Here is a 25,841-nt window from a genome sequence, read left to right as displayed (position 1 = left end):
CTGTGCTATGTGCATTCATTGCAATGTGACTGTGCACATGCAATGTCCATGATTATTGTATAACTTGTTGGCAATGTAATGAGATGGGCCTGGTGACATAAGAAATAGTAACTGGAGGTCGGGCACAGTGGCTCACGCCTATAATCCCAGTCACTTAGGAGGCTGAGGTGGGAGGATCTTTTGAGTCCAGGAGTTCGAGGCTGCAATGAACTATGATCCAGCCACTCCACTCTAGCCTGGGTGACAGAGAGAGAAAGAAGAAAGAAGAAGAAGGAGAAGAAGGAGAAGGAGAAGGAGAAGGAAGAAGAAGGAAGAAAGAAGAAGAAAAAAGAAATCATAATTGGAATCCAGATATTAGATCTAAGGGACATGGTTTCATTTTTAGGAAGTCACATGAAGTAATTATGGTGGAGTTTCAGGGTGGTTTGGTTTGGGTGCAAAAAGGTTGATAAACCCCTTCTTGGGACTTTGGTGACCTGGCAGGAACCTGCCCTGTACAAGCAGAATACCATTGCCACCACCTGAGTGCATCTCCAGCCAAAAATGCGGAAGACCCAAGATGTCAGCCAGTGGTGCCCCGGCCTACTGCCCTGGGCATGTCCTGCTGGAAACCTTTTAGCCCGTGGAGGTCAGCTGCCACCTCTCTAAGACTGCGTCAGGGTGCTCTTTTCATCAGGCCTCAAACCCAGTTCCTCTGCAGAACAACCCAACCCAGACTGGGACGGAGAACGTGGATTCACCATCAAATCCCAGCACCAAAAAGAGTGCTTGGCACATTGGAAGCATTCAGTCAATAACCAATGAATGAGCAAATGTCAAGTAATAAGGCTAAAGAAGAAAGTGGGAGGCAGCCCTCCAAGGGCTTAGCATTTGAGGTGGAGGAGACTGGGACACAGCCGGAAGGCAGTAAGTACCAGGGAAGGGTTCCACACGCGGCACAGTTTGGTGGACGGTTTGGAGGGGGTGAGAAGGGAGGTGGGAGGGATCGATGGGGAGAGGTTGCTGGCAGAAAGCCAAGTGGGAGATGTGAGGGTTAGGACCAGTCCCTGACGAGGTGAGAGGGCAGAGAGAGGTGAAAGGTGATGGGGGGATAGGGAAGGTGGGGGAAGCTCCTGGCAGGGACAGGGTAGTACTGTCCCTGAAATCAGAATCCCTGGGCCTTTGTTTTCTGGGATATGTTTTTGTTTTGTTTTGTTTTGTTTCAGAGGCAAGGTCTCGCTCTGTCACCCAGGCTGGAGTGCAGTGGCGAGATCACGGCTCACTGCAATGACTTCCTGGGCTCAAGCGATCCTCCCACCTCAGCCTCCTGAGTAGCTGGGACTACAGGTATGCACCACCACACCTGGCTAATTTTTTAAAAACAGTTATCGTAGAGACAGGGTCTCGATATGTTGCCCAGGCTGGTCTCCAACTCTTGGCCTCAGGGATCCTTCTGCCTCAGCCTCCCAGAGTGCTGAGATTACAGGCGTGAGCCACCACATGCAGCCGGAATCTCTGGGCCTTGACGTCGTGTGTTGTTGAGGACGCTTCTGCCTCTGGAGGCGGTTGACACTGCAAATGTGTCTGATGTGTTTGTTGACACATTTTTTTTCAGCACCAACTGCCAAGGCATCTGGGATTCGCACAACATTTCAAAACAAAGCCAGGCTTTAGATGTAAACACATTCGGGAGCCTCCGGCCTCAGTGGGCCTCATCAGACACCTTCAGGAGGACACCAGTTCCCTATACAGCAGCTCCTAAACCTCTCAACTAATCGGAGGCAAGAGTGTCCCCTGGCCCCTCCCAGGCGGGGCACACCCATTCAGACAGAAGAAAATGTGGTTCTTTCCTATTAGCTCCAACTCTGTTTATTTAAAGTGAAGTACGTTTTAGGGCTAGGGACCCCTTTTCTGACCAGGATTGGGTCTTTGTTCCTTCTGCCTTTCTTAGATTTCTTTCTGGGATCAAGTTCCTTGTCATGTGTGGATAAGTATGTTACTCTCTGAGTCAAAGAAAAATCTTCCAGTGATACCCCGTGTTGGCGAGGATGTGGCAAGACTGGAACCCTCCCCCGGCTGTGGGAGTGGAGTTGGTGCGATCGATTTGGAGAACTGTCTGGCAGGATCTGCAGGAGCTGTACATGGCCAGCAGTTCTACTCCAAGCTTCGTATCTAACAGAAACACATAAATGGGTACAGCAAAACACACACACGTGAACGTCCACAGCAGTGGTCTTCATAAGAGCCCTGAACTGGAGCTATGCAAATACCCACGGACAGTAGGATTGCAGGATATCCGCAGAGGGGAACGCTCTAAAGCCATGAGGATACACAGTCTGCGATTACACACACCAGGAGGAATCACCCAGACGTAATTTTGAATGAAATAAGCCAGACGAGGTAAAGATACACACTGCAAAACTCCATTTACATGGCAATAAAGAACTGGAGAAATACAACTGGGTGTGGTGGCTCACGCCTGTAATCCCAGGACTTTGGGAGACCGAGGCAGGAGGATTACTTGAGCCCAGGAGTTCGAGACCAGCCTGGGCAACATGGTGAAACCCCATCTCTACCAAAAACAAAAGAAAACAACAAACAAACCAACAAAAAACCAAAAATGAGCTGGGCATGGTGGTGGGCACCTGTAGTCCCTGCTACTCAGGAGGCTGAGGTGGGAGGATCACTTGAGCCTGGGAGGTCGAGGCTGCAGTGAGCCATGATTGCACCCCTGCACTCTAGCCTGGGCAGCAGAGCAAGACTCTGTCTCAAGAAAAAAACAAGCAAACAAAACTGGAGAAATACAGCAATCTGTTAAAAGTAAGGGGAGGGGTCTACTTAATTTGGTTGGAAGGAATAATAACTGGGTGGGGGCATGTTCTGATTCCTCATTACAACTCATGCATTCTCAGTGGGAGTAAAAAAAAAAAATTTTTTACTCTGTTCCATGTAAAGCACGGACATAAATACAACACACAGATACACTCCATATGTACTGTATTTTTCTATTTCAATTTCATGATAGGGAACAACTAGGAAAATAATGTCTAAAAATGCTCCTTAAGGGATGTTCCAATAACAAAAAGAGTTGTGAAACTTTGGTTACATGGGAAATTCATTGAGTGGTGCATTTAGGCTGTATGCATGCCTGCATGGGTGTTGTACTTTTTATTTATTATTATTATTATTATTATTTTTTGGGATAAAGTCTCCCTCTGTCACCCAAGCTGGAGTGCAGTGGCACCATCTCAGCTCACTGCAACCTCCACCTCCTGGGTTCAAGCAATTCTCCTGCCTCAGCCTCCCAAGTAGCTGAGATTACAGGCTCACACCACCACACCTGGCTAACTGTTGTATTTTTAGTAGAGACGGGGTTTCACCATGCTGGCCAGGCTGGTCTTGAACTCCTGACCTCCCTCAAGTGCTCTGCCTGCCTCAGCCTCCCAAAGTGCTGGGATTACAGGCGTGAGCCACCGTGCCTGGCCATATTCTTTAGTATAAATGTGCAATGGCTCTCTATCTCTCTTCGGATAGAGACAGGTGTCATGTATTGCAGGGGTTCTCACGTGGGGTTACCGTATCCACCAGGGGACATCTGGCCATGTCTGCAGACATTTTTGGTTATCACAACCTCAGGAGAGAGTTGCTACTGGCATTTAGTGGGTAGAGTCCTGGGATGCTGCTCAATGTCTCAATGCACAGGACAGCCCCCCACCACACAGAATTATCTGGCTACGGATGTCAACAGTGTGAGAGTTCTGAACCCCTGGCCTAGGTGGCGTCTGAAAACCCTGTGCCCTGCTGCTACTCCAGTCCTCCTTGGGTCCCTCCCCACTCTCTCTGCTCCAGCCACACTGCTGCCCTTGCCGCTGCCCTCTTCTCTCTGCTGAGACCATTCCTCCCGACTCGTGGCCTGCCAGACCTTCCTCTCCTTCAGATCTCAGCTGAAAAGTCATTTCCCTGGGAAGCCTCCCTGACACCCACCCTCTCCATCCCCAAATAGCTCAGCTCCTGTGGGTTTATTCTCAGCGCCTCCACTAGCTGTGTGACCTCGGGCAAATACTTAACCACTCTGTGCCTCAGTTTCTGCATCTGAAAAATGGGGATAACAAAAGTACCTGCTTCACAGACTTGTCAATATTGTCGCTATAAAGTGCTGAACACAGTGTTTGGTACAAATTATGCTCTCCATAAACATTAACTATTAGCATCATTCTTTTATGCCCACAAAGCGCTGCCTACCTTACTCTGTAGCACTTAATATTGTTGCAATTCTCTATTCATGTGTGTGGTTAATTGACTGCCTCCGTGGGAATGTCGGCACTGCGTTTTCATTCATCAAGGCATGCCACATACCTGGCACATAGTATGGGCTCAATACATATTTATGGAATGAATGAATGAATGAAAGGACTATTGCCAAAGTCTGCCCAGTGATTCTGTGAATGGCCATGAACATATTTTGTCTTTCTTCTGTGTAACCCCAAGACCTACCGCATTTTGAGGCTGTTGGATGAGTTTCAGCAGGGCGGGGTGGCTGTAACCTGAGGGCAGGAGAGTATTGTTAGAGACCTCATTGCATCCAAGGGTTCCCCATGCCCCTCCCACCTCTCCTTCCCTCTCCCTTCCTTTCCAACCCCCCAACTCTCTTTAAAAACCAAAGGGTCTTTTATCCTTTGTTGACAAAAAGAGATTCCTGGGGCCCCACCTAACATCCCTGACTCAGAATCTCTCAAGGGGCAGCCTAGAAATCCAACAAATTCTCTAGGAGATTCTGATGCTTGTTCAGATTTGAGACCTACTGGACTACATAAACATAAGGTGAGATAAATGCGCCACGTGTGGTGGCTCACACCTGTAATCCCAGCACTTCGGGAGGCCAAGGCGGGTGGATCACTTGAGGTCAGGAGTTCCAGACCAGCCTGGCCAACATGGTGAATCCCCGTCTCTACTAAAAATACAAAAATTAGCCGGGCGAGGTAGCACGTGCCTGTAATCCCAGGTACTCGGGGGGCTGAGGCAGAAGAATCTCTTGAACACAAGAGGCGGAGGTTGCATTGAGTTGAGATCACGCCACTGCACTCCAGCCTGGGTGACAGTGAGACTCTATTTAAATAAATAAATAAATAAAAAGGGAGATAAATGCAAGAAAATTTCAAGCCTGGGGCTGGCTGGGGAGTGTGGTTCAACAGGCCCTAGTGCTGGATTGCAGATAGGATCCTCACCTTCCTTCCCAGCGCCCATGGGCTGAGTCAAATCTCGACAAATGTTTGCTCAGAGACTGAGCGAGTAGTGATGCCACCTGCAATCTGTGACCCGCATGCCTCATCCTGCCTTCACACATCTGCTTATTCCCAGAGTCCTACAGCATTTACCATCCAGACTGGGCCTGACATTGCACAACAAGGCTTAGCACACTCGGATTCAGCAATTGCTCTTCTATGAATTTATCCTACCAGTGTGTATAAAGATCTATGAGCATGGATCTTAATTGTGACACTCTCATATCTCAAGACTTGAAAGCAACCTAACATCCATCAGTAGTGGGTCAGGGAAATAAGCCTTCTAATGTAACGAATCAGCTGTAGAAAAGGGTGAGAGAGATTTATTTGTGCTGAGTTAGAATAATCTCTGAGATCTGCTAAGTGAAGAAGGAGAGACACAGGATATGTGTATGCTTACGCACGCACTGAGTATCTCTCTAGAAGAAGCAGGTTGCTTCTGAGAGAGGAATTGAGATGGGGATTAGGCTTAGGAAAGGCACTGGTCCCCACTCTATTAAAATTAAAATAACGAGACAATAGGTGCAGTAAACCACCATGGCACACGTTTACCTATGTAACAAACCGGCAGGTTCTACACATGTATCCCTTTTTTTTAAAAAGAAGAAATAAAAAAAGAAAAAAATTAAAATAAAAATGTTTGACGTTAATTAATAAGAATTACTCTGTAGTTATGTTAAACTCAAGCAAGATTGTTGTAATCTTCTAGGGCTTTTTGAAAGACATTCTTAACCATTCTATCGCATGTTGGCCTCCCCTAACAAGTCAAGCTCCCATTCCTTCCCCTCCCCTCTTCTTTTCAGCAGAGTCTTGCCTTGTTGCCCAGGCTGGAGTGCAGTGGCACAATCGTGGCTCGTTGTGACCTCTGCCTCCCAGGTTCAAGCGATTCTCGTGTCTCGTGCCTCAGCCTCCGGAGTAGCTGGGTTTATAGGTGTGTGCCACCATGCCTGGCTAATTTTGTTTTTTTTTTGAGAGAGAGTCTCGCTCTGTTGCCCAGGCTGGAGTGAAGTGGAGCAATCTCGGCTCACTGCAAGCTCCGCCTCCTGGGTTCACGCCATTCTCCTGCCTCAGCCTCCCGAGTAGCTGGGCCTACAGGCGCCCATCACCACGCCTGGCTAATTTTTTGTATTTTTAGTAGAGACGGGGTTTCATCGTGTTACCCAGGATGGTCTCAATCTGCTGACCTCGTGATCCACCCACCTCGGCCTCCCAAAGTGCTGGGATTACAGGCGGTAGTCACCGTACCCAGCCACAATTTTTTTGTATTTTTAGTAGATATGAGGTTTTGCCATGTTGGCGAGGCTCGTCTTGAACTCCTGCCCTCAAGTGATCCACCCACCTCGGCCTTCCAAAGTGCTAGGATTACAGGTGTGAGCCACCGAACCCGGCCTGAAGTCAAGCCATTGTCTATCTCCTGGTTATTAATGCACCTGCCCTGCAGGTCATCTCCCAGTCAGTACTGGGAGATAATTACACATAAGGTTGGAGCACAACAGGGCAGCAGGGTCTCTCTCTGAGAAAAGAACTCAGCAGCCGACCTCATTTGTTTGACTTGAGTTTCTAAAAATCACAGCTCTCACCCTGATGAATGCATCCTCACTTTCATGTGTCTTGAAGCCCTGGGAAGTGGCCACATCACCTCTGTGGCCAGTGATGGTGGACAATGCTCATTCCCACCTCTGCCTCCTACACAGAGTCCCCTGTCCATGGTGATGCCACTCCACAGGCCCGGGACACTTTGTGGTTGCACCTGGACCTCCCTGTCGAGAAGACCAGAGGGAGGGAGGCGTAGGAGACCCACCTCAGGGTTAGTACACCCATGGCAGCCAGTGGGGCCAACCAGGACTTGACACCATGCCTCAGAGAGTTAAAAAAAAACAAAAACGAATCAACGACTATATTCTTGGGCTTACAGGAAAGCAGAGAAAAGAAAGAAAGAACGTGCTGAAAAGCTGAAACTGTGCCCCAAAGAGTAAGAAGCCAGTAACTAACAGAAATTCTCGAGTTTGAAGAATAGCAGATAAGAAAGGAATCTCACTTGGGAGGCCGAGGCAGGTGGGTCACTTCAGCTCAGGAGTTTGATACCAGCTTGGCCAACATGGTGAAACCCCATCTCTACTAAAAATACAAAAATTAGCCCAGCGTGGTGGCAGGTGCCTGTAATCCCAGCTACTTGGGAGGCTGAGGCAGGAGAATCGCTTGAACCAGGGGGGCAGAGGTTGTAGTGAGCTGAGATTGTGCCACTGCACTCCAGCCTGGGCAACAGAATGGGACTCCGTTTTCAAGAAAAAAAAAAGAAAGAAAGAAAGAAAGAAAGAAAGAAAGAAAGAAAGAAAGAAAGAAAGAAATAAATAAATCAACTTGCTGAAAATGCTGAAACTCTCTCTGCTTATGAGATCAAGGAGAAACGAGCTGAAATCTGTTGGGACCAAGATGGTCAAATGGAGTTTGTGCAAAACGAGCTTGCTGATATCATGGCCTGAATTTCCACCACAAGGTTCACACTAACTCCTGCTGAATTTGAACATGCAATCGCTGCAGTAGCATGGATATAACTGTCCATGCCTGAGGACTTTCCAGACCACCCCCTCTTCCTTCTACCAGTCACCGGCTAATCTCAGAATCCACCCCTTGAACCTTTTCTTTTTGTTGTTTTCTTTGTTTGAGACATGGTCTCACTCTGTTGCCCAGGCTGGAGTGCAGTGGTGTAATCATGGCTCACTGCAGCCTCAACCTCCCTAGCTTAAGCAATCCTCCCACTTCAGCCTCCCGAATAGCTGGGATTACAGGTATGCACCACCATGCCCGGCTAATTTTTTTTTTTTTTTTTTTTTTTTTTATAGACAGGGTTTCAACATGTTGGCTAGGCTGGTCTCAAACTCCTGAGCTCAAGCTATTTTCCTGTCTTGGCTTCCCAAAGTGTGGGATTACAGGCGTGAGCCACTGTGTCCATCCAAATACATTTGCTTTGAAAGGAGACTTTATGTCAATGTGGCCAGAGGTTGAATGCAGTAGGAACAATCTTTCTGTTGCCTGCCCAAGCCTCTGAGCCTGGGCCGCGCACTCCTCCACAGTAAGAGATCAGCCAGTGGAGACAGGTATTAAAGACCTGGCATCACCCAGGGGAGACTTTCTGCTAATAGAATAGAAAAGTGAAAGTGATTTGAAATGCCTTGGGGTTCCACTCTGTCTGGTCGAGAAGACGGATGAGACAGCCTTGGAGGGGGACCAAGGTGGTTAACATTCATCCCTGGCACTCCCCCATCCTACTCCAACACACGCTGGCCCCAAGACTGAAAAGTACACCTTACTCAAGAAAGGAACACTCTGGGTTTCTCCAACTGTTTCGGGGCCAAAGGTCTTTAAGTCCTGGTTCCTTATCACCACTGCCTGTGTGTTCATGACTTTTCTGCCTTTGGAGAGCTAAGCCTGTTCCAGGTAGACCTCATTAAGCCTCAGATGTGGCGTGCCTTACTGGCTTCTGAAGAAGAGATGAAAGCGGAGCTGGTCCCTCTGATCAGGGAAATCCTGCCTTGGGCTTTCTATGCTGTGGGACCCCCACATTTCAGGGCAGGGCAGGGGCAGGCGTCTGCAAGGCAGCTACCATAGAAATAAGCTTGGGAGGGCCAGGCGCGGTGGCTCACGCCTGTATTCCTAGCACTTTGGGAGGCCAAGGTGGGTGGATCACGAGGTCAGAAGATCGAGACCATCCTGGCTAACACGGTGAAACCCCGTCTCTACTAAAAATACAAAAAAAAGTAGCCAGGCATGATGGTGGGCACCTGTAGTCCCAGCTACTTGGGAAGCTGAGGCAGGAGAATCGCTTGAACCCAGGAGGCAGAGCTTGCAGTGAGCCGAGATCATGCCACTACACTCCAGCCTGGGCGACAGAGCAAGACTCCGTCTAAAAAAAAAAAAAAAAAAAAGAATAAGCTTGGGAGGCAGAGAGTTGTTTGTGCACAGCCTGGCTTAGCCTTGGACTCCCTGTGTATGCCAGGAAAATCCTGCAAGCTCTTGAGACTCGGGCCCATCAGTCAACTGGAGGTGATGTTAGAAGACCCTACTCCAAGGTGGCTGTAGCCATTTAATGAGATAATGTATAAGGCACTTGGCAATATGCCAAGTGCATAGTAAATTCTCTATAAGTATTAACTTAAAAAAATCTTTTCAAAGACTACAGATACGGGAGGACAGGTGGCCAGAGAGAGAACTTTTAGAACTTCTAGAATTTTTCTGTTTTTGTTTTTTACTGAGACAGGGTCTTGCACTGTTGCCTCAGGCTGGAGTGCAGTGGAGTGATCATAGCCCACTGCAGCCTCAAACTCCTGGGCTCCAGAGATCCTCCTGACTGAGCCTCCAGAGTAGCTGGGACTACAGGCATGCACCAGCATGACTAGCTAATTTTTAAAACTCTTTTGTAGAGATTGGGGTTGGTTCTCACTATAATGCCCAGATTGGTCTTAAACTCCTGGCCTCAAACAATCCTCTTCCCTTGGCCTCCCAAAGTGCTGGGATTATCAGCGTGCTCCACCGTGCCCGACCAAACTTCTAGTTTTTTAAACAAATGCTGCTAATCTGATTCCCTGACCTTCATGCACACAGTGGCTAGCTGGGCATTCAGACTGAGGGAGTCCTCGGGGGTGGGTCACAGTCCCACAGCTAATATATAGTAGAGCCAGGATTTGAACCCAGGACAACTCAAGAGCCCATCCCTTCCACTCCCACACAAAGGGGAGATGGGGTTTTTAAATTCTTGTCTCCAAAATGCCTTCCATAGCTGAGGCATTCCTGAATGATGGACTTCCCCCAAAGAATGAGTCATCCGCTTACTGTCTAATCTCATGTTAGTGGCAAATAAATAGGTGTGAGGAAATGAGCAGGGGAAGAAGAGGAGGGGGGACAGCCAAGGCTGGGTCTCAGGGAAAGGCTCCAGGCTTCTGAGCAGGGTCCAAAGGGAGGTGCTGATGGGGAGCGGAGGATGCCCCGGGCTCTTCTGCAGCAGAAGAACCAGCATTACCTGTGAAGGGACAGGCTTCATCAGACACAGCCTATGGACTACTCAATGTAGCCAGGAATCCATCAGCCAAAGAAACATTAACCATCCAAGCTGCAAATAGCAGCTACCTGCATTTCCAATTTAGCCCTGTCCATCCTGTCTGTGTGCCCTTTTATACAGCGAGTGAACACTCTATATGGCTGGGAGGCGAGGCTGGGGAGGCAGACGCTGTGGGCATCCCACCGAGGTCACTTTTACTGGGCAGGTCACCGTTTTCCAGCTGCTGTGTGTGTTGATTGATAATAACTCCAGCTGCCTCCTTGCCTGGAAAATCGCCCTTGGCAAATGGAAGCCACTTTTCCGAGGAGATTATACGAGTTCTCCCCTCTCGCAGCTGATGGGCGATGACTGGCTGGTGAAGGGTCATAAAAAGCCAGGCCCTTTGCTTCAGTCTGAGACCAACTCTGGGGTGTGGTGTATGCACCAGAGCCCGAAGTGGGGTCAGGCTGTGGATAGTTCTAGCTAAGACCTCATCCTTCTTAGCTTATTCCCCCTGCCCCAGGCTGTTTCCTTTCCTCCCCTTTCTCCTGAGAGCTCTCCCTCAATCAATAACCTGCCCAAGAATCCCTACCTCTGGCTGGGTTCAGTGGCTCACACCTGAAATCCTAGCACTTTGGGAGGCCAAGGTGGGAGGATCACTTGAGTCCAGGAGTTCGAGACCAGCCTGGGCAGCGCATAGTGAGACCACCATCTCTACAAAAAATAAAAAAATTAGGCTGGGTATAGTGGCTCACACCTGTAATCCCAGCACTGTGGGAGGCTGAGGCAGGCAGATCACTTGCGGTCAGGAGTTCTAGACTACCCTGGCCAACATGGTAAAACCCCGTCTCTACTAAAAATGCAAAAATTAGATAGGCATGGTGGCGTGTGCCTGTAATCCCAGCTACTTGGGAGGCTGAGGCATGAGAATCACTTGAACCCGGGAGGCAGAGGTTGCAGTGAGCCAAGATCACGCCACTTCACTCCCGCCTGGTCGACAGAACAAGACTTCGTCTGGAAAAAAAAAAAAAAAAAAAAAAGCAGGGAAAAAGGAAATCCCCACCTCAGGCTCTTCTTCGAGGAAACTCAACCTAAGACACCTACCTGGGTGCCACTGTGGTCACACAGATGGGTTTGCATTCTAGCTATGATTCCTACGCAAGGTACCAAACCTTTCTATGCTTTGTTTACCTATCTGCAAAATGGGGATATTAATACATACTTACCCTGTGGAATTTGGGGAAGGAGTAGATGAGAGAGGACATATAATATGTCTAATAATATACCCTTTACACATTATTTATTTTTTTCCTACCCTTGGGTGAAGTGTCAGGCAACACTCTGGGATGTGCCTGCTGGAAGCCACATCCTAATACCTGGATAGCCACGACTAGGAGAGACAGAAACAGAGGTTATATCCAAGGAATGATTTCCCAGCTCTTACCTATGGGGACAGAGGAGATCTGGGAATAAAGATCCAGCATTCGGTTGCCGTCCACATCAACCAGGTAATTGCCTCGGCTCTCTTCGTAATTGCAGAAAAAATGCACAGCCTCTGCATTCTTGGAGAAAGAAAAGACCAACTCAGGCTCACTGCCACTCCCTAGATTCTTGGGCTTTTAGGATTAAGCTTGAATCAGTGAAGTACACCATATCGTGACTATCTGTGGACACACAGAGGCATCTGTGGGTGCCAGCAATGTATTTCTTGTTTTGGCTAAGTGCATGGGTGGTTTGCTTTATAATAGTTCAGTAAGCTGTGATTTTATTTTTTATGAATTTTTCTGTATGTGTTTTATACATCAGAACAAAAAAAGAGATACAAATCTGAAGTCGATTCTGTTAAGATATGTATGGTAAACCTTAGAGCAAACTCAAAGAAAACTAAAATATGTAGTAATCATTAAAGAAATAAAAATGTTACACTGCAAAGTACTCACTTAATGCAAAATGAGTAACATCACAAGAGGGCTGAGTGCAGTGCCTCATGCCTGTAATCCCAGTACTTTGGGAAGCCGAGGCAGGTGGATCATTTGAAGTCAGGAGATCAAGACCAGCGTGGGCAACATGGTGAAACCCTGTATCTACTAAAAAATACAAAAATTAGCCAGGCGTGGTGGTGCACGCCTGTGATCCCAGCTACTCAGAAGACTGAGGCAGGAGAATCACTGCACCCGGGAGGCGGAGGTTGCAGTGAACTTAGATTGTGCCACTACACTCCAACCTGGGGCGACAGAGTGAGACTCCATCTCAAATAAAAAACAAAAACATTAAAAGAGGAACAAAAGGGCTGGGTGCAGTGGCTCACGCCTGTAATCCCAGCACTTTGGGAAGCTGAGGCAGGTGGATTACCTGAGGTGAGGAGTTCGAAACCAGCCTCAACATGGTGAAATCTTGTCTCTACTAAAAATACAAAAATTAGCCGGGCATAGTGGCGGGCACCTGTAATCCCAGCTACTTGGGACGCTGAGGCAGGAGAATCACTTGAACCCAGGAGGCGGATGTTGCAGTGAGCCGAGATTGTGCCACTGCACACCAGCCTGGGAGACAGAGTGAGACTTCATCTCAAAAAAAAAAAAAAAAAAAAAAAAAAAAAAGGCCGGGTGCGGTGGCTCACGCCTGTAATCCAGCACTTTGGGAGGCCGAGGCAGGTGGATCACGAGGTCAGCAGTTCGAGACCAGCCTGACCAACGTGGTGAAACCCCATCTCTACTAAAAATACAAAAAAATTAGCTGGGTGTGGAGGCGGGTGCCTGTAATCTCAGTGACTTGAGAGGCTGAGGCAGGAGAATTGTTTGAAACCGGAAGGCAGAGGTTGCTGTGAGCCGAGATTGCGCCACTGCACTCTAGCCTGGGCAATAAGAGCAAAACTCCGTCTAAAAAAAAAAAAAAAGAGGAACAAAAGAACAAAAGACAGAAGACATATAGAGAACAACAATAAATGGCAGCTGTAAACACAACCATATGAATAATAACATTAACTGTGAATGGATGAAACAATCCAATCAAAAGGCAGAGATTGTCAGACTGGATAAAAAGAACCAACTCGATGCTGTTTACAGGAGACACTTTAGATTCAAGAACACAAATAGTTTGAAAGTAAAAAGATGGAGAAAGGAATCTGATGCACACAGCAACCATAAGAAAGCTAGAAGGGGTTGTACTCATATCAGAAAAAATAGACTATAAAAATATTACTAGAGAGAAAGAGAGAATATTATAAAGGGTCAATCCACTAAGAAGATATGACAATTATAAACATATTTGCACCCAAAAACAGAGCCCTGAATACACAGACAAAAACAGAATCAAAGGGAAAAACAATTTTATAATAATAGTTGGAGATGTCAACATCTGGCACTCCATAATGGATAGGACAACTAGGGAGAAGATTAGCAAGGAAATAGAAGACTTGAACAATATTCTAAAAGCAACCAGACCTAAGAAACATCTATAGAACACTCTGCCCAACAACAGCAGAATATAGATTCTTCTCAAGTACATATGGAATATTCTCCAGGCTAGACCATACGCTAGGCCATAAAAAAAGGCTCAATAAATTTAACAGGATTGAAATCACAAAAATATGTTTCCAACCATAATGGAATGAAACTAGAAATCAATAACAGAAAGAAATTTGGGAAATTTACCAAAGCGTAGAAATTAAACATCATGTAAGTAACTAATGGGTCAAAGAAGAAATCACAAAGGAAATGAGAAAAAATGTTTAGAACAAAAGTCAACTACATTTTTTTTAAAAAAGAGCCAGAACAGATTAAGCATCTGTCTTTTAGCTCAATTGTGATAAAGAAGCAACAGAAGGAAAGTTACCTCCTCCTCACTTACCTGAATTATATTCAGCTGTTTCATTAACTCCTGCAGGCAAGAACAACAAAAGCATTATAGCAAGTCCACACTCTTGCCAAAATAGCTTAAAATCTTTCATGTTTTCCCAAGTCTTGGCATTTTTTTCTTTTGCCAATAACTAAATATTTTATTAGTCAACCATATTACTTTAAAATTACTTGATATAAATAGTTGGCAGGAAACTATTCCATTACACGCTTAAATTACTAGTACGATAGACAGGCTGGAAATTCAGCCACCTGAAAGATAAAATAAACTAAAATATTTAGCAAGAAAATCTTAAGCTGAAGGTGTTTATCTAGTGTCCATAAAAACAGATTCTCTGTTATTTAGGGGAAAAAAGGTGTTAACACTTCATTAAGAATATAAATAACTGAAAATATTAACTTGCATATCAAAGAACCATTTATAATTATAATCCAAACACTCCATAAACCACTTGTACTTTATCCTATACAGAAACAGGGAATTAGAAACTAGCCGCTTTGATATTACAAAGATTTCAATTCCAAAAGTAATTCAATATAAAATAGATGTTAGCAGTTAGTGTCATAAAATTATATATTTCCAATAAAAATACAGGATAATATTCATGACAAGAATATGAAAAAGTATTCCAAGAATTTTACTACTACTAGATTAAAATCTATCTCCCCAATAGAAACATGCATTTAAAATGTCTCCCGTTTTGTTAGCAAAACACTATCCAAAATAACTACAATCACTTATATTAGTACAAAGATTTCTGGATTTATAAAATAGTTGCAATGACAAAAGAAGTATGTTTTGACAGTAAAAAAAAGACATTATGGACAAAATATGCAAAATGTGCAAAGAAAAAATAAATTTGCATTAGAAAGGTGGGCATTTGATCTCTGAGCCCTGTGCCATGTAACATTGCCATGTTCTTTCACTGTTGTTTGGATGTTGTACCCCAGCCCTTGACTCTGGACTTAAGGCAAGCTATGACTGGCTTTGGCCAGCAGAAGGAGGCAGCAGTGATGGCGGACCCATGCGGAACCCAGGCCTCAGCAGAACTATACCATGTTCTCCTCTTGCTTTTGTACACCTTTGCCATTGCCATGAGGACAAGCCCCATCTAGCCTTCTGGAGCATGGCAGACACATGGAGCAGAACCAAATCACTGCAGTGATTCAAGCCACGCCTAACCTAGATCAACCAACAGCCAGCTGTCCCCCAGGCATGGAGGTGAGCCCAACAGAGCTGTCTGCTCAACAGAGCTGTCTACCCAACTCCCAATGAACCTTAAATGCACGAGCAATTGGCTTGCTCTATGCTAGTGGGATTTTTGTGGCTGTTTGTTATGAAGCATTACTGTGGTAGGAGAAAACTGATACATCTCCTCTGTGATGCCCTCGTTGGCTTCTTTTTCTTTTTTTTTTTTGAGACAGAGTCTTGCTCTGCTGCCCAGGTTGGAGTGCAGAGGCACCATCTCGCCTGTAATCCCAACACTTTGAGAGGTTGACGCGGGTGGATCACTTGAGGTCAGGACTTCAAGACCAGCCTGGCCAACATAGTGAAACCCTGTCTCTACTCAAAATACCAAAATTAGCCAGGCGTGGTGGTGCGTGCCTAAAATCCCAGCTACTCAGGAGGCTCACTGCAACCTCTGCCTCCCAGATTCAAGTGATTCCCTTGCCTCAGCCTCCCGAGTAGCTGGGACTACAGGCAACCGCCATCACTCCTGGCTAATTTTTGTATTTTGAGTACAGACAGGGTTTCAGTATGTTGGCCAGGCTGGTCTTGAACTCCTGACCTCAAGTGATCCGCCCGCCTCAACCTCTCAAAGTGTTGGGATTACAGCGTCAGCCACCGCGCCCAGCCCTTCTTTGGCTTTGTATGGCAAAATGGCCTCATTGAGTATCTCAGATCTCTGGTGGTGAACTCTCTGAAAGCAGCTGACAATCAATACAGGTCCCTAAGCTTGGCTGTGCTTTTGCTTCTTAGGCGCCTTTTTCCCTTTTCCAAAATACCCCACTCAGGTGTGCTCAACTCACCTGAGATCTAGGCCCTGGGACTTCCGTCTTCATCAGAGGCCCATCATAATCAAATTCAACGTCGACTTTGGCTGCAGCTTGACTAATGTGTCTGGATCCTGCAGTAAACAAAGACAATGAGAAATCCCTGGTGACAGCAGAGATCATGAGGATTCTGCCCTGACAGATGCCCAATGTCCCTAACAGAGGTAGTGCCAGGACCTTAGCCTCATCCCAGCCAGACCACCCCAGAACACTGTGTCTGGACAGACCAACTGGGCCACCACAAGGACACTGTAGATTTTAAAAAAGGGAAAACCCAGTGTCAGCAAAGTTGTAGGCAAATAGGCATGCTCCTGTTTTACTGGCATGAGTACAAGCTGATGCCAGCTTTCTTTGTATTTATTTATTCATTTTTTTTTGAGACAGAGTCTTGCTCTATTGCCCAGGCTGGAGTGCATTGGCCCCAACAAGGCTCACTGCACCCCTGACCTCCAAAGGCTCAGTTGATCCTTCTGCCTCAGCCTCCTGAGTACCTGGGATTACAGGCACGCACCACCATGCCTGGCTAATTTTGGTATTTTTAGTAGAGACGGGGTTTCGCCATGTTGCCCAGGCTGGCCTCAAACTCCTGGGCTCAAGCAATCCACCTGCCTTGACCTCCCAAAGTGCTGGGATTACAGGTGTGAGCCACCATGCCTGATCTGATGCCAGCTTTCTATTGCTTTCAACTGAGTAATCTCGTTTTTATGATTCATCCTAAGAAAATAATGGGACCAGTACACAAAGATGGAGGTAGACAATATTCATCATATATTGTCTATTTAACAGCAAAGAGGGCCAGATGGGGTCGCTCATTCCGGTAATCCCAGCACTCTGGGAGTCGAAGGTGGGTGGATCCCTTGAGCTCAGAAGTTCACGACCAGCTTGGGCAACGTGGTGAAACCCCATCTCTACCACAAAACAAAAATTAGCTGGGCGTGGTGGTACATGCCTTTAGTTCCAGCTACTTGGGAGGCTGAGGTGGGAGGATTGCTTCAGCCTGAGAGGTTGAGGCTGCAGTGAGCCATGATTACAGCACTTCAGCCTGGGCAACAGAGTGAGACGCTGTCTCAACAAACAAACAAAAAACAAAGGGAAAACAACCTACATGTCCAGCACCGGAGGTCAGCTAAGCAGAATGTGGCATAGTCAACCATTTCATGGAATATTATGCACCCATTAATTGTTTTGAGGTTGACATCTTAAATATTTGTGGATATGGAAAGATGCCCATGGTATTAGCATGCAGAGACACGATCTGGGCTCACTGCAACATCTGCTTCCCAGGTTCAAGTGATTCTCCTGCCTCGGCCTCCCAAGTAGCTGGGATTACAGGTGCCTACCACTACACCCGGCTAATTTTAGTATTTTTAGCCTGGCTGAGGTCTGGTTGTTTAAAAGTGTGTGGCTGGCTGGGCACCGTGGCTCATACCTATAATCCCAGCACTTTGGGAGGTTCAGGCAGGTGGATCACCTGAGGTCAGGAGTTCAAGACCAGCCTGGCCAACATGGCGAAATCCCGTCTCTATCAAAAATATAAAAACTAGCCGGGTGTGGTGGCAGGCACCTGTAATCCCAGCTACTAGGGAGGCTGAGGCATGAGAATCGCTTGAACCCAGGAGGCAGAGGCTGCAGTGAGCCAAGATTGTGCCACTGCACTTCAGACTGGGTAACAAAGCGAGACTCCATCTCAAAAGAAAAAAAAATGTGTGGCTCCTCCCTGCTTGCTCTCTTGCTCCTATTCCTACCATGTGAGGCACCTCGCTTGCCCTTTGCCTTCCACCATGATTGGAAGTTTCCTGAGGCCTCCCCAGAAGCTGAGCACATGCCAGCATCATGCTTCCTGTAAAGCCTGCAGAACCATGAGCCAATTAAACCTCTTTTCTTTAAAAATTACCCAATCCCAGGTATTTTTTTTTGTAGCATTGCGGGAACAGACTAATACATGGTCACCCATCATTTGTTTGAATGCATTTCACATTTTCCACATAATGTGTAATGAGTTTACAGAGGGTGTTTGATTTCCCGGGTGAATCCCACAATCTTTTTAGCTCCACATGTTGCTGAAACACAAAGGGTAGCTCAAGCCCAAGCCTTGCTGATCCCTGAGTGAAAGACAGGTGCGGTGTATCCAAGACAAGTGTGTGAGGGTTTACTGTCAGGAACCCCTAGAAATCCCTTCAGTGTTACTCTTGATCTTTCACCTTCCTGGTACTATTTGGTGGTTGGGAAATGTTAGTTCCTCTTACTGGGGTTGCCATAATTGTACCAAACTAGGGAATCAGTGGACACTTTATATAAATTACATAAATAATCTAATTTCATCTTCATATATATAATAAACAAAAATATATATTATATAACTACATATATAACTAAAATATATATTATAACTAAAATATATAACATATTATAACTAAAATATATATTATATATTATAACTAAAATATATATCATATAACTAAAATATATATTATATATTACAACTAAAATATATTATATATTAAAACTAAAGTATATATTACATAATATATTATAACTAAAATACATATTATATACTATAACTAAAATATATATTATATAATACATTATAACTAAAATATATATTATATAATATATTATAAAATGTGTGTATATATATATATATATATATAACTGTTTCCATTACACAAGAGGGGACTCTAAAGCTCAGAGAAGTTAAGAAATGTGCCAAGATCTCCCGTGACACACACACACACACACACACACACACACACACAGAGACACACATGCAGATAGCTTGTCGAACTATACAAAGCTATGAGATTTTGAAACATATTTAAAATCACTCTTAATTTTCCATAATTGCTTTGGTTATCAAAGAAGGTTTCTGAATTAATTATGTAACATCATGCTGTCTTTTGAACATAAAGTACCGTTAAAATACAGCACTATACTTATATAAGGATGAAGAAAAACAGCTTTTATTTTCTTCTCTTTGATCTGAAAAAGGGAATTCCTAAAAGTATTCCATTAGAAGAGAGCTAAAGGTCCTAGAACATATCGATGACTTTTTTTTTTTTTTTTTTTTAAAGAAATGAGGTCTCGCTATGTTGCCCAGCCTGGCGTTGAACTCCTGGGCTCAAGTGATCCTCCTGCCTCAGCCTCCCACGTAGCTAGGACTACAGGCACACAACACTGCGCCCGGCTACTTTTTTTTTTTTTTTTTTTTTGAGACAGGGTCTCACTCTGTCGCCCAAGCCGGAATGCAGTGGTGCGATCTCAGCTCATTGCAACCTCTGCATCCCGGTTTCAAGCAATCCTCTCACCTTAGCCCCCTGAGTAGCTGGGATCACAGGCATGCGTCACCATGCCCGGCTAATTTTTTGCATTTTTGGCAGAGAAGGGGTTTTGCCATGTTTCCCAGGATGGTCTGGAACTCCTGAGCTCAGGCAATCCACCCGCCTTGGCCCCCCAAAGTGCTGGGATTACAGGCATAAGCCACCGTACCCGGCCCTAGTTTTTTACACTAAACTATTTATCTTTTCCTTTGCCAGAACTCAGGATAACTGGACAGCATTGATTCCAACTAGATCTTCAGGGACGCATATTTTGATAAAAATAGCTCTTCACCAGTGCAGATCTTGCTTTGTTTCCAGCAAAGGGGGAAAATGAAAAATCAGAAATTAGCAAGCTGTTCTTAAATGAGGACACACGCGTCCTCCTTTCTTTTCTCCAGAAAGTGTCTTGACATTGCATTGTAGCAATCAGATTTCTTGGGAACCGGAGTGTGGAAATACTGGGAATGGGAGCAGTACACAGGGGGAGCTGCGGCTGAATGGATCCAGAGAGAAATGACTGGAGAGCGTGGGATCAAGTGGAACTGCGATAATGAGCATGTCAAGGCCATGGGGAAACAGGAGCTGGGAGAGGTGGTGAAGAAAGGGTGAGAACTGGCTAACTGGGCGCTATGGGGCACAAGCCAGGAATGCTGAGGACAGGTCCAAGGCAGATGGGTCTGTTCCGAGAACTGTATCAGCTCCTATCATGTTTTCCATAAGTTTGTTTGCAACTGCGCTATCAGAAAGGGGGGGAATGGGGAAATTAACACATATTCAGTCTTTACTAAAATGCTAGGCTGGCCCTATTTAGGCAAACTTCCATCTATTTTAAGTAATCCACAATTAAATACAACCATATAGATAGTATTGTTGTTCACAGTTTACAGTTGAGGATCAGAGATGTTAAGTGACTTTCCCGATGTCACACAGCTAGTGAGTTGAAGAGTCAGCATTGGAACCCAGGTTCTTGCAATCCCAATACTTCTGCTTTTCCTTCTATATCTCAATGTTGGCATTTTTAAAAAAGGAAAATAACCAAATACTATTACAATGAATATTCTCTTAATGATGACATATAACAATACACCACAAGAGAACAGAACAAAAATTGAAGGGACAAGTAAACCTTCTCTTGGATCTCATCTATGAAGACACAGAAGCAGATTCAAGTGTGTACTGAGCACTTAGGGTAACAACCAGGAATCATCTGGAGCAATTTACATGGCTTATCTCATTTAATTCTCACAAACTCCTATGAGGTAAATGTTATTATTCTTACATTACAGAAGAAGACGCTGAGGCTCAGAGAGGTTAATTAATTTGCCCAAGATCACACAGCTAGCAAGTGGTTAGCAGGAAATTTGCCCATCTGACCTGTTTCCTAGAAGCTATGAATGGAACTGAGGCTATCTTTGATTTCATCGAGTGCTAGCCTTTGAATGAAACATTTGCAGCAAAACAACACACTTCTCCTAAAGGCAAATTTTGATCATGATCACAAAGATGCAAAAAACCGGTTTGAATTAATACTGAATGATCAAGCATTTTCATTCTTGAATAAAATAACACATCCAGAAGGCAAGAGTATGTTATTGACACACAAGACCAGACACAATATGTGAATGGTCCATCCAGCCTGGCCCTCTGGGGCTCACAGCCCTCAATGGCCATGCCAAGCCAGAGTCTATTTTTAGCTCCAAACTACACAGTAGCTAGCAAACATTGTTAATGTTCTCTTGATCTTTAGACCGAGAGTGATAAACGAATGTCGTGTTCCCAAACAGCCAAAGCTCTGTACATGAGCCTGGCCAGAACGAAGGTCAAGTCCAACTGGAGTTGTTTGCTCTGCTTTTCTGTTAAAAAATTTTTTTTATCTGCTCCTGCAACTGTCCACCCCACTTATTTTGTGATAAAATGTTTATTGAGGAAGATACCAATAAGCAACATGGAAAAAAGAAAACACATTTAATTTTCTACCCAGCAATAACAATTTTGATGTGGTCTCCCACTCTCTGTATTCTATTTACCAACATAAGATTATTAATTTTGGGGAGGCATAAAATGATGCCATTGGGAACACCATGTCAGATCGTTAACTATCGTCACTTTAATGGCCTCACAGGGACCTGGTGGAGACACCATGGAGAAGCAGGAAAATGCTGTGGGTATGGCTGCAGGCTGAGGCTTCCATTTTTGGCACCCTCTCTTGCTTTGAGGGAGCAGTTGCCACATTGTAAGCGGCTCTGTGAAGAGGTCCACGTATCAAGGAACTGAGAGTGGCTTCTGGCTGACAGCATCCAAGGAACTGAATCCAGCCACAACCCCGTAAGTGGGACTGCCAGTAGATCGTCCAACCGCCAAGTTGAGCCATCATATGAGACCACAGCCCCAGCTGACAGCTCCATTACACCCTCATGACAGACCTTGAGCCAGAGGATCTGGCTAAGTCACCCCTGGAGTCCCAACCCGCAGAAACTGTGAGATAATAAACATAGGATCCCAATCTGCTAAATCTGGAGGTATGTGTTACGTGGCGGCAGATAATCAATACAGTGGCTCGGGTCCTGGAGCCAACTGGGCTTAGCTCAAAAGCCTGGCTCAGCCGCTCATCAGCTCTGTGGCTCTGGCAACTTAATTTCCCTGACTTGAAGTTTCCTTTACCTTAAGGAGTGGAGGTGAGGGCTAAATGGGTTAAAAGTAAGCTGTAATTCCTATCATTTTTTAATCCTTCCCCTGGTTGCTACTTGCCTAATAGCAGTGTACGAGAGTACACGTATTCCTGTATCTTTGCCAACACTGTGTTTTAGTATTCTTAAAAAACCATATTCTGGCTTACTAGATATCCCAAATCAATAAGTCAAAAGAGAAGACAAAATCTCACCATATGGTTTTCTAAATCATAAATGTGCCAAAAAAGATTCAGCTCCAGCCAAGAAAATGCAGAAGAGGTAAAGGTAAGAAACTCTGTGATTTAGCCATTTCTATTTTTTCTGTTTTTTTGTTTTTTGCATTGTGCCTGTATTTCCATGCTTGTAAAATGGGAGTTAGGACACTTCCCACCTTACTGTAAATACAAATAAAGTGCTTTCACATGAACCATAACCTCCGCCTCCTGGGTTCTAACCCATTCTCCTGCCTCAGCCTCCCAAGTAGCTGGGATTACAGGTGCACACCACCATGCGCAGCTAATTTTTGTATTTTTAGTAGAGACGGGGTTTCATCATGTTGGCCAGGCTGGTCCTGAACTCCTGACCTCAGGTGATCCACCCGCCTCAGCCTCCCAAAGTGTTGGTATTACAGGTGTGGGCCACTGTGCCTGGCCCATATGAACCATTTCTTCTAATGCAAGAAATTTGTGAAATAGGAAGGATATGATTATTAGACCCGTTTTCCTGATGAGAAAACCGAGGCTTGGATAAGGTATATCGGTTAGGCTCACTTGGTTAATGTGTGGTGAAGGTAGCAATCCAATCACATGAATCTTGACCTAGTGCTCTTCCCATGGTGTCTCCTTAGGAAAGCTCAGATGTCCTGGAGAATGACCTTTAAAGATGGTGCCACATGCGCCACCAGGCTAGAGCTCCACAAGAGCCACATGTCTTTCTTCACTGCCACATCCTTAATACCCAGCACAGCACTTGGCATGCAGTAGGTGCCCAACAGCCTTAGTTATGGAATGAATGGATCATCTGTGCCAGACTCTCTTTCTGACTTGGAACCCTCCATACCTACATCTTTCTGATTTAGTTTAGCATAATTATGGGTAAACATTAATATGCTTCTCTTATAAATAAATAAATAAAGCAAAACCTTGGCCAGGTGCAGTGGCTCATGCCAGTAATCCTAACACTTTGGGAGGCCAAGATGGGTGGATCACTTGAGGTCAGGAGTTGGAGACTAGCCTGGCCAACATGGTAAAACCCTGTCTCTACAAAAAATATAAAAATTAGCCGGGCATGGTGGCAGGTGCCTGTAATCCCAGCTACTTGGGAGGCTGAGGCAGGAGGATCACTTGAATCCGGGAGGTGGAGGTTGCAGTGAGTCGAGATTGCACCACGGCACCACTCCAGCCTGGCCAACAGAGTGAGACTCCATCTCAGACACACATACACACACACCAAAAAAAAAACAAAAACAAAAACAAAAACAAAAACAAAAAAGAAAAAAGGAAAAGCAAAACCTCAAAAGCCATTGATAACTTCTTAAAACCACCCAGGTCGAGAAGAATAAGGAAAAGACTGAGAAACTGTCACAGACCAGAGGAGGCCATGGAAGATGAGACAAATCAATGCAATGTGTGTACCTGGATTGGATCCTGGAGCAGAAAAAGACATTAAAGGAAAAATGAGTGAAAGCCAAATAAAAGTCTGGAGTTTGGTTAATGGTAACATACCAAGGTCAGTTTCTTAGTGTCTTTAAAAACTTATTTATCTATTATTATTATTTTAAGACAAGGCCACCCAGGCTGGAGTGCTGTGGCATGATCATGGCTCACTGCAGCCTCGATCTCCCAGGCTCAAGCAATCCTCCCGCTTCAGCCTCCCCAGTAGCTGAGACTACAAGCACATGTCACCATGCCCAGCTAAGTTTTGTATTTTTCACAGAGACAGGGTCTCCCTATGTTGCCCAGGCTGGTCTCAAACCCCTGGGCTCAAGCGATCCTCCTGCCTCAGCCTCCCAAATTGCTGGGGTTACAGCTGTGAGCCACTGTCTTGTCTGTCTGTCCTTCTTTCTTTCTTTCCTTTCTTTCTTTCTTTCTTTCTTTCCTCCTTCCTTCCTTCCTTCCTTCCTTCCTTCCTTCCTTCCTTTCTTCCTTTCCTTTCTTTTTTTTTTTTTTAATCTCAGTCTGTTGCCCAGGCTGAAGTACAGTGGCTCAATCTCAGCTTACTGCAACCTCCGCCTTCTGGGTTCAAGTGCTTCTTCTGCCTCAGCCTCCCAAGTAGCTGGGATTACAGGTGCCTGCCACCACACCCGGCTAATTTTTTTTTTGTATTTTTAGTAGAGATGAGGTTTCACCATGTTGCCCAGGCTGGTCTCGAACTTCTGACCTCAGATGATCCTCCTGCCTCGGCCTCCCAAAGTGCTGGCATTATAGGCGTGAGCCACCGCGCCTGGCCAGCTAGTTTCTTAGTGTTGACAACTGCATCTTGGTGATGTAAGATGTTAACAAGGGAGGAAACTGGTGAGGGCCATATGGGTTCTCCCTGTAATATCTTTGTAACTTCTCTGTAAATCTAAAATTTTTAAAAAATAAGATGTTTATTTATTTATTTTTTATTTTTTTGAGACAGAGCCTCGATGTTGCCCAGGCTGGAGTACAGTGGCACGATCCAGCTCACTGCCACCTCTACCTCCTGGATTCAAGCGATTCTCCTGCCTCAGCCTGCTGAGTAGTTGGGATTACAGGCATCCACCACCATACCTGGCTAATTTTTGTATTTTTGGTAGAGACGGGGTTTCACCATGTTGGCCAGGCTGGTCTCGACCCCTGACCTCAGGTGATCTGCCCACCTCGCCTCCCAAAGTGCTGGGATTACAGTTGTGAGCCACTGCGCCCGGCCAAGATGTTTATTTTAAAATAAAGCCTACTCATACTCCTTGGGGAGGGGCGAACGCTCCTACTGTTTATGCCACCCAGGACATACACACCAGCATTCAACATGCAGACCAAGGACACGGCTAGCAGTTTGTCTTCAGAAGGCAGTAAGGCCTGCCAACAAGGGACACCATGATGACAAGCACAGGGGCTGTGAGAGAGCTGGGGACAGGCTGGAGGCTCACTGGTCTTTCTGAACCTATTTCATGGCCAGCCCCGAGCCAGGCACTTTATATCTCTGCAGGAGGCCACTCTCGGGGCATGTGAAGGGAGGCTCCTGCTGGCGGCTCTGTCTCCAGAGCCACATGGAGGCACACGGAGGAGTAGTTAGCATTGGAGCCGGACAGAGTTGCTTGCAAGTGGCTGTGTGACCTTGGGCAAATGGCTTTGCTTCTCTAAGCCTGAGTTCTCTCACCTGTAAAATAGGATTCACTTGAGCCTCCCTCCCTCATGGGACTATTGGGAGGGAGGTCTCAAAGACGTCAAACAGAAGGAAGAAGGAGCCAGTGCAAGTGGCCATGGGTGTGGGGCAGAGTGGGGGTGAGACATTCCTAAGATGGTGCCTCCCATCCAGTGATCCAGTGACCCTGAAGCACAGCTGGGCTCTAGGTCAATTTCAGAGTCGCTTATGGCTTTCTTTGTTCCTTAGCAGCGATCCCAGATGTGTGTTTTCCCCAGCGGTCCCTGCAGAGATGGCCTGGGGCCATCTGGCTGTGGAGGCCA

At 45.7% G+C, this 25,841-nt stretch overlaps 1 protein-coding gene and 1 long non-coding RNA gene across 26 annotated transcripts in view, besides 1 other annotated feature; one reads left to right on the top strand and one right to left on the bottom strand.

The window, feature by feature from the left end:
- ABAT (4-aminobutyrate aminotransferase) overlaps positions 1-25,841 on the bottom strand; it is a 109,954-nt gene that overhangs the window by 22,291 nt on the left and 61,822 nt on the right. For 21 of the 24 annotated variants that reach the window (XM_047433688.1, NM_001386602.1, NM_020686.6 and 18 more), the window contains 4 exons: positions 16,182-16,279; positions 14,143-14,172; positions 11,741-11,858; positions 4,474-4,523 (listed from right to left, as the gene is read on the bottom strand). In XM_047433688.1, coding sequence (XP_047289644.1) covers positions 4,474-4,523; positions 11,741-11,858; positions 14,143-14,172; positions 16,182-16,279 — 296 coding nt within the window. Of the gene's footprint in view, positions 1-4,473; positions 4,524-10,914; positions 11,011-11,740; positions 11,859-14,142; positions 14,173-16,181; positions 16,280-25,841 lie in introns of all 24 variants that reach the window. The other 3 variants (NM_001386615.1, NM_001386610.1, NM_001386614.1) reach the window with 3 other exon arrangements.
- Positions 10,185-10,929: an enhancer, noted in NCBI's record as "H3K4me1 hESC enhancer chr16:8845208-8845952 (GRCh37/hg19 assembly coordinates)". NCBI's record gives its function as "activates a minimal SCP1, AML or CMV promoter by ChIP-STARR-seq in naive H9 embryonic stem cells {active_cell/tissue: H9 hESC(naive)}" and the evidence as "EXISTENCE:reporter gene assay evidence [ECO:0000049][PMID:30033119]".
- On the top strand, positions 20,150-24,851 carry LOC107984840 (uncharacterized). Of its 2 annotated transcripts, XR_007064977.1 has the most exons (4): positions 20,150-22,041; positions 22,362-22,476; positions 23,739-23,919; positions 24,814-24,851. It is a non-coding gene; the product is annotated as an uncharacterized LOC107984840 (long non-coding RNA). The 2 variants fall into 2 exon arrangements; XR_001752071.2 differs by having other exon boundaries at positions 20,150-22,476.

This window comes from Homo sapiens, chromosome 16 (genome assembly GCF_000001405.40).
Source record: "Homo sapiens chromosome 16, GRCh38.p14 Primary Assembly".
Lineage (NCBI taxonomy): Eukaryota > Metazoa > Chordata > Mammalia > Primates > Hominidae > Homo > Homo sapiens.
The sequence above is the reverse complement of the archived record's forward strand: the minus strand, read 5'-3'. Positions and strand labels throughout refer to the sequence as shown.